We start from the raw sequence: 12,665 nt of genomic DNA, 5'->3' as shown, positions 1-12,665 counted from the left end.
TGAAAAGAGTCAGTGGATTATTCTGTTAGCATGATTACCACCCAGTACTACAGATTTCAATACTGCTTTAACACAGAGGAGTAAAAATCAGAAAATCTATAGTGAAAGGCACTTCTCTCTATCTCAATATTCTTTAAAAAAAAAAAAACCTTTGGTAACATAATAAGAAATAAGAATAGGTTTCTGTCTTCAAGAAATATTTAGTTTTTAGCTTAACATAAAAATGCCTATATTGGCTTATAATTCTGTTTTATTTAGTATAAAAGTGCCCATATTGGCTCATTGGCCCATAGGGGCTCTGAAGTCACTTGAAGTTTACTCACCCAGCAAGCTTGACTCCTTAGCAGGTGAATATTCACCCTATGCGAGGGGTGCATTTATTTCAAAGGTTTCTGAGAATGCTGATAAATTCCACCACCTTTCTTAGTAGCGTATTTAATGTTTTTTCTTCTTGTGCTCAAGTCCTCCTCACTTGTATGTAAATATTTTGCTGTATTTTATACCCAATTTTAATTTTTACTTAATTTTAATTTTGTTTAAATAGAAAATAACCAGATAATTACTTTATTTTCCATGTCTGTAATGAAATTTGGGAAATAATTCTTGAATTCTTCTTTTTAATCTTTATCGCAACTTTGTATAATCATTTATTTAGCAACTATTTGAAAAATACCAGCCATTAGGTGAAACTGTTTTTTCACTCTGGGGATGGACAACAGGATGAATACAGCAGAGCCTCTGCCTTCACTGGGCCCACTGTGTAACAAAGAAACATGCTTGCAGAAACCAAGTATAATCACCAGTGGTGAGGCTGATGATAGCTCAGGGCCCAGGTATATTTAGAAAAGGCTGGGGCTCTTTCAAACCCTGCTTTCTGTCATTTGCTTTTTTCAGTATGTATCTGCTGGGAAAATCTTCACCCTTTTAGAGTCTTTTAAATGATATTCTTAAGTGTTATTTTCTGTATATCCAATCACTTACTGTACTATATACTATAGAAAATACACTCTATTCATTTATACTTCATATTTATATTTACTGATAATTAATATTTTTAGGTATTAAATAATTGCTGTCAGGTATTAACATGTACATTTGCATTTTGCACCTCACACTTCTGTAAATGTTACTTTCTTTTTTCCACACAAGCAGATTCCCGCATGGCCAGCAGAAGTGTCTGAGCCTGCCCCACCGGAATGAATGTCGCATGTCTGTGATGTCACATGTCTGTGTCTGTACACTTTGGGCACATCCGTAGAGCCAAGAATCCCCCTTTGGTTGTCAGCATTTCTGAGGGCTAACATCTCCTAGAATCTTTTGGAAGACCCATAGTTGTAAAACTGGAAGGATGTCTTTGGGGAATATTTTCACATCGATTGTTTTGCCTGGATAACTTTTTTTTTTTTTTTTTTTTTTTTGAGATGGATTCTCGCTCTGTCACCCAGGCTGGAGTGCAGTGGTGCAATCTCGGCTCACTGCAAGCTCCGCCTCCCAGGTTCATGCCGTTCTCCTGCCTCAGCCTCCCAAGTAGCTGGGACTACAGGTGCCCGCCACCACGCCTGGCTAATTTTTTGTGTATTTTTAGTAGAGACGGGGTTTCACCATGTTAGCCAGGATGGTCTCGATCTCCTGACTTCGTGATCTGCCCACCTCGGCCTCCCAGAGTGCTGGGATGACAGGCGTGAGCCACCGCGCCCAGCAGGACTTCTTAAAGAATGACATTTCTACATACAGTTATATGTTACATCTCCTCATACCAAGGATGTAGCCAATCAAATGGCCAAGAGGGCTGAAGAGAGCACATAGGTGTGGCTAACCTCTAAATCTTAAAAGTTTGCTTCAAATAGCAAAAATATTTTGCTTTTAGATCATATAATTTGTATAATTTTACTTTCCAAATGAAGCATCTCTCAGAAAATGTGAAATTCCACTGACCCCCATATCCTGGGATGTACATATTTAAGATCCCTTGTGCCAGGTGGCCAGAGAAACAACGCAGCTGCCAACCTTTTCATTCTTTAAATGTCTCTTCAGTGTATTACAAATAACCTGTATTGGACCTGTCTTTTTTTTTTTTTTTTTTTTTTTAATTTTTGAGATGGGGTCTCACTCTGTCATCCAGGATGGAATACAGTGGTGCAGTCATAGCTCACTGCAGCCTCAAATTCCTGGGCTCAAGTGATCCTCCCTCCTCAACTTCCCGAGTTGTTGGGACTAAAGGGACACACCGTCACGCCTGGCTAATTTTTATTTTTTGTAGACATAGGATCTTGCTATGTTGCCCAGGCTGGTCTCGAACTCCTTTCCTCAAGCAATCCTCCCACCTTGGCCTCTCAAAGTACTGAGATTACAGAGGTGAGCCACCATGCTCTGCTGGATGTATCTTAATTGTAAATTTTTCCTCCAAAATGCACTTTTTAATGGATATCTAAGGTCTGAAGAGGAAAATGGAAGACTTGACAGAAGAAGGTGTACCTTCAATCCTTCCCTTTTTTTGGCCTCTTTTATATTTTCCACCAGTGGTTCAACTGAACATCTGGGAATCAACAGCACACCGAGACTTCTGTGCCTCTGGCTGTTAGATGGAAGAAATGTTATGTGAATTCATTCCCTTCCATCACCGGGTGGGACGTGGTGGTCAGCCCCAGCAGGCAGATTTCCAAGGTGACACTGAGGAGGGAAAAAAGTCTTACCCTGCTGTCCACCAGCATGTCAGAGACCAGAGCCAGAACTTCTGAGAGCACCACAGTTCCAAAACAAAGGAGATACAGGATGTCAGATCACACTGGTGTTTCAGCCATAACTGTTCTCAGGGCATTTTTTAACAATGTGGTCACTTTCTCCTGGTTTGTCCACTGTAGGAAGGGGTAAAGATGATCAGAGAACCTCTTTACATAGGAGAATTAATTGTCTTATTTTTTACTAGAAATCAAAAAGGAAGGAAACATTTTATTTTATGGTATATTCCAAATAAAAGTTCGTTGAACTAACAAACAGAAATGTCCCACATCTAGCATTTATATTGTATTTATATTTATATTGAGTTTCCAGAAGGCTTTCCTATGAATAACCTCCTTTCATCAGTTGTCACAATAGCACAAGTTAGTATTGTTATTACCATTTGAAGTGAGGGAGATAAAGATCCCAGAAGTTCAGGAATTGTCTAAGAGCTAGGCATGAACCCTCGTCTTTCTACTCAAACCTCCTCTCTTTTCTACCAGCCAAAGAGCACAGCCTCCTGACAACCTGGGCATAAGTTTAGTTCTTTAACAAATCACCACATTTATTTTCAGAGCCTAGTTATTATATCGTAAGGATTACATCCTTAGGTTAAAGAATGTATAAATCAATAAATTATCTCTTTTATGTTTCACTTCAAACACGTCTTTTTTTCTCATCACCTTCAGCTCCCGAGCATAGCAGAAAACATAGTTAGAAAGTGTCCTTTCCGGTATAACAGAATTTTTTTTTTTTGAGACAGAGTTTCGCTCTTGTTGCCCAGGTTGGAGTGCAGTGGTGCGATCTCGGCTCACTGCAACCTCTGCCTGCCGGGTTCAAGCGAGTCTCCTGCCTCAGTCTCCCTAGTAGCTGGGATTACAGGTGCCAACCACCACACCCAGCCAATTTTTTTAACATAATTTTTTAAAATGAAGATATAGTAGAAGACTGCATTATTTATGCTCACATTTTTTTTCTTTTCTTTTCTTTTTTTTTTTTGAGATAGTGCTCTCTCGTTGCCCAGGCTGGAGTGCAATGGCACGATCTCGGCTCACCGCAACCTCTGCCTTCTGGGTTCAAGGGATTCTTCTGCCCCAGAGTAGCTGGGATTACAGCCATGTGCCACCATGCCTGGCTAATTTTGTATTTTTAGTAGAAACGGGGTTTCTCCATGTTCGTCAGGCTGGTCTCAAACTCGTGACCTCAGGTGTTGCGCTGCCCTCAGCCTCCCAAAGTGCTGGGATTACGGGTGTGAGCCACCACACCCAGCTATGCTCACATATTTTTAAACATGTGATTAACAATGTGCTATTATTATTTTGAGTAAATTTAATATATGACAATAGAAATTGTGAAAATATTTGGCAGTATTACAAGGATAAAAACCCATTGAAAACATCTTGACATACAAGATAGTGACTTTAAGAATAGTGATAAGAATATTAAAATCTGGCAATTTCTTAAGATTTTGAATCTACCAATATAATTCTGATGTTTAAAGGTTTTGAGACAGTAATATATAGTGCTGTGGGTTTTATTTGTGTGTCGGCGGGGGAGTGTGCTACAATTTTTCTGTAATACATCTTGTGGCACTTATACATGTTTGAAATTTTTTTTAAATTCTAACATTCAGAGAGTTTGTTGATACATATCTTTCCAGTCCGTGTGTGTGTGTGTGTGTGTGTGTGTGTGTGTGTAAATACAAAAAAAGACTTCAATATAAAATGTATTTGGTTAAATCAGAGTTATTCAAATATGTGAATATCTCAAATCAGAGATATTCAAATATTATAAACATCAAAATTGAGGTTCTCTTAATTTAAATTTATTAACTTCAAAGGACTTGTTTGAATAGAACTCTATTGGATATTATTCTTTTTATTTTGAATTTTATATACCCAAGAATAGGTAACCCAAATAGGGGGCAGTCCCATGTTTTCCAAATGAGAAGAAACAAAAAAATATTCTAAGCCAACTGAATATTTAAACTTTTAAGAATGTGGACAAAATAGTCAAGTGACTTTAAATGTTTAATTTACTGAATAGCTACGCATACATTTGTAAAATAACATTAAAATATTTCCAAACATTGGGGTTTTTTCTTCTCGCATTTTGAAAAACAATTTTATTCAGTATCCTTTAACACATCCTCATCATCTGTGTCTTTATTACTACGAGACACTTTTTGGTCATCTGTTTTCTAGAGCACATTTTCACACAGGGCTTTCACATCCATTGCTAGTGCTGCCAAAGGGAAGTCCATCCCAAGCCATGAGTCTTCAGCGCATATATGAGGACTTGTGCTGATGTATATTATATATACGTATTTTATATATACACATGTATATTAAATATTGTCATGCTTCCCCTAGCTTCCTAATGTATTGCTTTTTTAAAGGGTTACTGACATATAACTCTTATAAGAGCATACTCAGGATAACGACAGCTACATTTTTATCTCTTGTTTTGAAGAGATTGTCGTGTGTGACCCTTGAAGCATGGAAACTAGGATTAATTAATGTTATTTCAAACTATCATGTCCTCTCTCTCCACCACTCCAACGTAGTACTTAGTTCTTCAAAATAATATAATTGAGAAATTGCCCCATAATACATGGGATTTTGATAGTACTTGAGTATAAGGGGACCAACTCTCTTTTTACTAAGGAGTATTAGGGAGGAAAAATGGAAAGTGTAAACCACAACTTAAATGTTCACTTCTCCACCGTTTTTTCTATACTATCTGTTGATTTTCACATTTCTTTCTACCAGCCTAACATTTCTTTCATTAAACTTTTCTATATAATCAAAATAACAAACTTGAAACTCCATCAAGCCACAGTGAAAAACTAAAAGTGAAGTCAAGAACAGAGTGACTCCTAGCACCGGAGGCCAAGTGGCCGTGCAGTCCCCGTGGGGTGGCACGCCTCCAAGCAGGTCGTCTCTGGAGGCCGGTGCCCTGTTCGAGGCAGTGGTCACCCTTCCTCCCACTGGTCCGTCTGCCTCCTGCAAGCTGTAATTACACCACGGCCCTAATACAGCTGTGGCCTTTGGGGAACACAAAGGCACAATCGATTGATTGTTTCATGTGAATAAAGCGAGTGTGTGGTATAAGAGGATTTGATGAGTTGTGGTGGGTTTCTGGTGCTTTGGTAGAGGTTGGCACTTGTCTTTTCTTAGGAAATTGTGGCCCCATCCAAACAGGGTAGGGTGTTGTGTTTTCCTGCTGTCACCAGCTTCTCCTCTTGATTAAGCTTGTCTTTCACCAAGCTGGCGTTACTGAAGTACTTGAAATCACAGATAAAGAGGATCTTTACTGCTTAAAAATTTAGTGCACTGATATGGTATTTGGGTCTCAGCTTTTTACATAGCAAAATCTTCATTTTCCTGTCTTTTTCAGTCCTTCAGTCTTAGTGCTAGTTTCTTCAGTGCTGCCTGAATATTGTGGACAATAATAAAATTACCAAGTATGTCAGCTGGCATTTCATTTCTCAGTGTCTAAGCTTGTTGTGTGCCCTGTTTCCAGGGAAAAAGTGGCCCCAATATAGGCATCCTTCTGGGAAGCTGTTGCTCAAAATTCCATTCCCTTATTGCACAGTTTAGTTGTGGCATTGCACTCTTCTTCCAAAGGTGGGGCAGGATGGTTGGCGATGGAATTAAGGATGTGGATGTGGATCCAGCCCAAGTGAAAATTTTCTGAAGGAGAAGCGGTGGGAGGAGGTCAAATGCAAACACCGTCTGACAGGCAGCAATGTTGCAATGCATAATCATAATCTTTAGGACTGGTATAGATAACCCTTTTCTCTTCAAAGCATTTTGCTAACATTTAGTTCGTTAATTCTACCAACAGCCCTGTAGGGAGATAAGTTTTTATTATAATAGCTTCACGTTGCCTTTAAAGAACTGGGCGACTTGCCGAATGCCACCTGGGCTGTCCCTCACTGTCTAGGTGTCTCTATCTTTCCTGTGAAACAGTTCACGCAGACTGACGAAAGAGTGGGGATTTCAGCGGTTCCCAGAAACCTGTGTGATACAGGAATCTACTGCCACTTGTTGCTCTAGAAAATACCATGCCTCCTGCTCCTGCAGCCCTGTGGCTGCTTACAACAGCAAGGCGCAGAGACTGAAAACTTGTAAACAGCTGTCGGGGGCTGGGGGCGGGCAGAGTGTAACAGAATAGGCTGCCAAATTCCTGACTGCCATATGTGCTGTGTAATACTTGTCATCTCAAGTGAGTCATTAAAAGGTTTCCCCTTAATGGGGCTTTGAAGTGCTGGGACAGCTTGAGCGCATCTATAAATTGCCACAAACAGCCCTCTGACCGAGTTAGCTAATTGCTTGCTCTTTGACTTATTAGGATCAACTGAGTTAAATAATTTGTCACATGTGTGGCTCGTAATAAATAATGTGACTAGCCAGTTTGTGGGCTGTTTCAGTGATATATTGTACCCCTTTTGGACGTTGTCACAAGTAGCTGGCAAATGTGGGCTATTTTATCCATAGGACTATCATATCCCTGCAAAAAGAGTTAGTTCTGACAGAGCGATTGGGGAAAAAATGCTAAAAGGAGTCTAGTTACTAACAAATGTGTTCAGTTCTTCAACCTTTCCATAAAGCATAACTATCATTTTTCTTGGCTATTGGGCACATACATCAGACATCATGCAAGTCATAGGCAAAAGAATAGAAATTATAAGTACTGAATTATTCTAGTTCATATAGACTGAATTATTACAGTTAAAATATTATCTGTTCCCTTTGTGAAAACAAGCAATCCCTGCTAGCCAGCCCGGTGGATGTGCTCGGCCCAGCTACGCTCAGCACTGCATTCCGGCCAGTGTTTGTGCTGTGGGCTGTGCCAAGGGCATTGTTGTCTACTGCCAGAAGACAGGGAGGGTGACAACTGGGATAGAGAGGACCATGGATGAGGGAAAGATTAATTTGAAAGAGGGGATCTGAGAAAGTAATTGTCCAGTAATAGGGAAAGGAGGATGCTTTGCTAGCCAGAAGTTAGAATTAAGTGCTTCTCTTGCCTAATAAATAATCTGTTGACTGTAGGTGCTCACAGCGTCTCACAGAAAGAGGATAGTGCCAGCACATCTGGGCTGGCTGGCTTTGATAGCAGTATCTTCGTCCTCATTCACAAAAGAGAAAAGAAAAGAAGGCAAGTAACTTGCCGTGCTGTTAATGTGAACTATGCTCTTGTAGAAAGTATTATTATGTGAGTAACAGGAAAATAATTGAGCCGTTTGTAACTGTTTTTAAAAAATCCTTACAAGAATACATCATAATTGGCTTTCCTTACTATTCACAACAGCAGCTTAGGACAGAATTTTGTCGTATTTAGCATGGAACAAGTATCAAGTATGTTTAAAACAAGGATCATTACGTTTTTCTATTATAAAATTGGTAGATGAACCCTTTTATTATTTCATGAAAAAAAGTAATTTCTGTAACAAAGAAGGATAGAAAAATTCCAGTTTACCAAAGGTTGCTTTCAACTCCTCATGTCAGGGAACATCATTTATTGTTATTTATTTGATTGTGTTCCCTGAAGTACTCAATTGAAATAATAATGGCCTTAACTCATATTTTTACAGCAATTTTTAAAATTAAAATATTACATTCTCTGTAGACGTCATTTCAAAATTAATGTTCTTTCACTATTTAATGACCTACTCTTTTTCTTTCCTTAAACGTATTTACGTAGGTTTTTAATATATCTCTATGCTTGCACATTATCACTGAGACAACAGGCAATAAAAATGCCAGAACGTCTCAAACAGTGAGGCCGAGAAGTCACAAACAGGTCCCAGCTGGAGGGTCCCCCAGCTTGTTCTCCCCTCCCCTTTCTGGCCAGCCCCTTTTAACCCTTGGTACTCGTTAACTCTCCTTGTGGATGTTCAGAGTAATTAGACAGTGGTTTAAGTGTGTGTGTGTGTGTGTGTGTGTGTGTGCTGGGGGATAGTGATATGGATGGGTGGATGCAGTTTGGAAAGGAGAGGCATTTCTCTCTAATTAGCGGAAGCCACCCAAACCTCGATTTGTTTCATATGCAAAATAGTAAATGTCTGCAGCAGACCCAGACACCTATCTGGCATTTGGAACAGGTGACATTATTAGTTCCCTGGGCCCTGTTTGTGTTTACTTTTGTTCACATAAGTTAATTAGCTGGTTTTAAAAAAGTATCATTTCTGCCTTCTGAAGAAATAAAACTTTACTCTCTTAATATGGCTTAATTTAATAGTGTGTGTTTTGCATTTGTTTTGGATATTATTTCTAAGTGACATCTTAAACTTCATAGGTGTGTCTTGGGCGTAACAAAAGTAATTATTCTATTAAAAAGAGTACGTATAAGGAAGAGTATATTTAAAGATATTTATCTCAAGATAACTAGCACTGAACTAAGTAGCTCCTTCCCTTAAAAGACAAAATGTGCTGAGACTGTACTCACACAGCCAGTCTGAGGCATCCGAAATCACAAGCAAAGAGCCTCTCTGGTGATGTGGCTCGGACTGTTTTGCAGCTGTGCTTGGTGTGCGGGTGTGTAGGTGTTTGTGGGGCTGGGGTGGGGGAGGAAGATTGACATTGTGGCTTGATTGGCACAGGCATATATCATGCTTCTAAGGGTTGGGCGTATCTTCGTTGCTGAAAGTACAAGCTGGATGAAGTGCTCATCCTTAGCTCTTCTGGAAGAGCTCATAGAATGGATCTCCTAGTTTCTTACTCAGTGTCCAGTGACATAGCTGTCACCACCAAGTGCACTTCTCTGTACAAACCTGCCGTATTGATCATGGGGTGTCATCCAGCACTGAGGAGCAAGGAGGGACAGAAAGAGGAAAATGACATTAAAGGGCCACTGAATTAAAGCCTTCAACTCAAGTGCCAGAGACACCGTGCTGGCAGACGCCAGCCCTGTGTGGCTCTTGTCCTGGCATGGTCTTCCTATCTGCCCAGGAAGGCAGGCCCCAGGCACAACCTGTGAGAGAACAGGCACTGCCTACTTGGGGAGAATGGACAGCAGACAGTCGTGGTCTGAGCCGTCTCAGCTGTACCCACCCTGCGGCAGAAGGACCCCTCCAGGCATGCAGGGCTGTTTGGCTGCCCTCTCCTGTCCAGAGTGTGTGGAAAAATATGCCAAGAAATTAGTCTCCCTGCTTTTGTAACAGTAGCACATCCAGGAGGAAGAGCCAGGGATCAGTGGGTCCTCCACAGAGTGTGAAGGGGACGCCATCCACTAAATGTTCCTTTTCCGCACTGTGGTCCCAAACACTGGGTTCTGTGCCGATTTCTTTTTTATTTTTTAACAGTAAAAGTTTCTTTCTGCCTGTGTTTTTGCTACTTACTTTCCTCCCTTGCTGAGAAGCAGAAGTAAAATGGTCGCAGGTTTTTCATTATTTCTAACCATTGTCAGAAACTGCCTGAATATCTGAAGGCTGTGGTTCTTATGCAGATCAACAGTTCCAAATACCTGAATACCAGACATTGACCAGGAGCTAGACCTTGACAGCCCTTCAGCTCCTGCCACAAGTGAGTCTGAAGTAATTGCTGTTGAAAGAATGACCCCATGCCACCCTCTTCTTTGCTGTCTAAACCCTCAATCGGCCTCAAATTAGATCACCATAGAGAAACATACCTGGGCCACAGATGGATCACCTCCTCCTCTCATTGTGGCCTGCCTGTGACTTACGCCCTTGATTTTTATTTAGGAACGCTATTAAAAAAATAGGAACAAAGAAAGGAACAATCTACGACTTTGAAAACCTTCCCACTTGTGTTCATCAGTATCCATGTATGAGACCTTATGTACCTAGTGCCAGAGAAAAGCATTACCTAAAGAACTAGTATTTTTCTTTTATACAAGCAGCGTGAGCTATCTCCCCCAGTAGAGCCTTTTCCTGCTGCAGTTGCCTCATCTTCTCAGAGAGTGACAAGATGGTGCTCATAAGCTTTAACCATGCTATGCAAAGCTCTGGGGCATTTCCCCACTGTCACGGATGGTTTCATATCCCTATTTTAATATTTCTTTTGCACTTTATTATTTCACTTGTACGTGTTCACATTGTAAGAACATATTAAATCATTTTTAGAAGGAGAGTAGATACAAATTATGAGTAATTCATTAAAATAAATATTTTAAACATATTCATAATTTTCTGATTTCAAATAATGTACAAATAATGCCTTATAAGATTCTAAGTTATAGAACTACTTGATCTGGATATTGAGCCTCTGAATTCACAACCATACATAACATATTCAGCACATTCTGGAGTCACTAAGCATTTACTTGTAACCTTTGCAGCACATTATACTGGGACGAGCCCTACACTTGAGTTCAGAGATTTAGGAATGAATCCCAACTATGCCACTTTGGTGACTTTGAGATAAAATTTTTCATCTGTAAAATTCTTAAAGAATACTAAAAATTATTAAATAAAGTAAGAAATATAGACACGCCTACCTCAGTGCTCTGCAGAATATGGCTCTCGATTTCCTTCCATCCACTTGTGCTCCCTGAATGTGAGGCAGTCTTGTGATGAAGGGTCTGGGAAACTAAATGCATTCAACCGGGATCACTGCGGTCCTCCTTGGTTCATCCATGTATGTATTTACTCCATATTTACTTCATCCATGTAGGAAAATATGTTCCAGGTTACCTGATTAGACACTTAGAATAGACTGGTGAAGAAACATAGTGGGTAAACATGATGACAGAACAGCTGTTGAGGGCCGGGTGCGGTGGATCACGCCTGTAATCCCAGCACTTTGGGAGGCCGAGGCAGGCAGGTCACAAGGTCAGGAGTTCGAGACCAGCCTGGCCAATATGGTAAAACCCCATCTCTACTAAAAATATAAAAATTAGCCAGGCGTGCTGGCGGGTGCCTGTAGTCCCAGCTACTCAGGAGGCTGAAGCAGGAGAATAGCTTGAACCCGGGAAGCAGAGGTTGCAGTGAGCCAAGATCGTGCCACTGCACTCCAGCCTGGGTGACAGAGCGAGACTCCAGGGAAAAAAAAAAAAAGAACAGCTGTTGAGAAGGAAAGTCAGCATTTAGGAGCCTCCCTTCCTAGGATCATCTGTTGGGGGAAGCACCCATCCACAGACACGAGGAACACCTACAAATAACACAGGAGTGTTTCTTGTACCTCCAAAACTCCTGCCTTCTATTACCAGTATTCCTCAATGTGTGTTTTCTTTATCATTTTACCTCTCAATTTTAACTTTTATTCTGATTTGTTTTCTGAGACTTTTCTTTTGATTTACTGACTTACTAAACATCTTAGTCATGCTTATGAATAATTTACAATTACCTAATTAATAGAGGGAAATTTTCTCATATCTCCCTATCCTCTAAGATATTTATCCACTTGTTTCTAGAGATCCCTGTGACAGGACCTTCTTCAGTGCTTAGGGAATGTCCAGGGGTCCAGCTTTTGGCTGGGTAGGTGTCAGTAAGCTGGTGAGTGTTAGGATGAAAACATTCTGGTAGTCTGTGTCTACAATGTTGTAAAATCCAGATAAATGGATTCTAGATTTGTACAAATTGCTCCTGTCTATATTTGCCTGCACACTCTATCACATCTGTCAGACTGACATCATCCTACCGATCGTTACCTTTTTAAACACACACCTAATTGTTTGTATTGCCCTGTAGTAGTATAAGTAAAATATGTTTTCGTTAATATTTCACAAAGGAAAATAATTTCTTTTTAGAAAATGTTTAAAAAGACTTATTTAACTACTTTTAAAAGTAATCCTTAGTTGACCCTATTAGCATGTCATATAAGAATATGCAGTATGTGAACATTTTCACTTTTAAAATGGTCACAATTTACAACTTTTTTGAGTTCAAAGTAACTTTTGCATTTATTAAAGATTTCACCAGAATTGATATCATCAGAGTGGAATACAATGAGTCTCTGTAAATTATTGTCAGTGAATTGGGA

General features: G+C 40.0%; 1 protein-coding gene across 7 annotated transcripts in view, besides 2 other annotated features; it reads left to right on the top strand.

Annotated features, from left to right (window-relative positions):
- Positions 1–12,665, top strand: part of GMDS (GDP-mannose 4,6-dehydratase) — a 621,800-nt gene that overhangs the window by 365,873 nt on the left and 243,262 nt on the right. The window lies entirely within an intron of this gene.
- Positions 5,164–5,664: an enhancer, noted in NCBI's record as "H3K4me1 hESC enhancer chr6:1874303-1874803 (GRCh37/hg19 assembly coordinates)". NCBI's record gives its function as "activates a minimal SCP1, AML or CMV promoter by ChIP-STARR-seq in naive H9 embryonic stem cells {active_cell/tissue: H9 hESC(naive)}" and the evidence as "EXISTENCE:reporter gene assay evidence [ECO:0000049][PMID:30033119]".
- Positions 5,665–6,166: an enhancer, noted in NCBI's record as "H3K4me1 hESC enhancer chr6:1873801-1874302 (GRCh37/hg19 assembly coordinates)". NCBI's record gives its function as "activates a minimal SCP1, AML or CMV promoter by ChIP-STARR-seq in naive H9 embryonic stem cells {active_cell/tissue: H9 hESC(naive)}" and the evidence as "EXISTENCE:reporter gene assay evidence [ECO:0000049][PMID:30033119]".

This window comes from Homo sapiens, chromosome 6 (genome assembly GCF_000001405.40).
Source record: "Homo sapiens chromosome 6, GRCh38.p14 Primary Assembly".
NCBI classification, from domain to species: domain Eukaryota; kingdom Metazoa; phylum Chordata; class Mammalia; order Primates; family Hominidae; genus Homo; species Homo sapiens.
The sequence above is the reverse complement of the archived record's forward strand: the minus strand, read 5'-3'. Positions and strand labels throughout refer to the sequence as shown.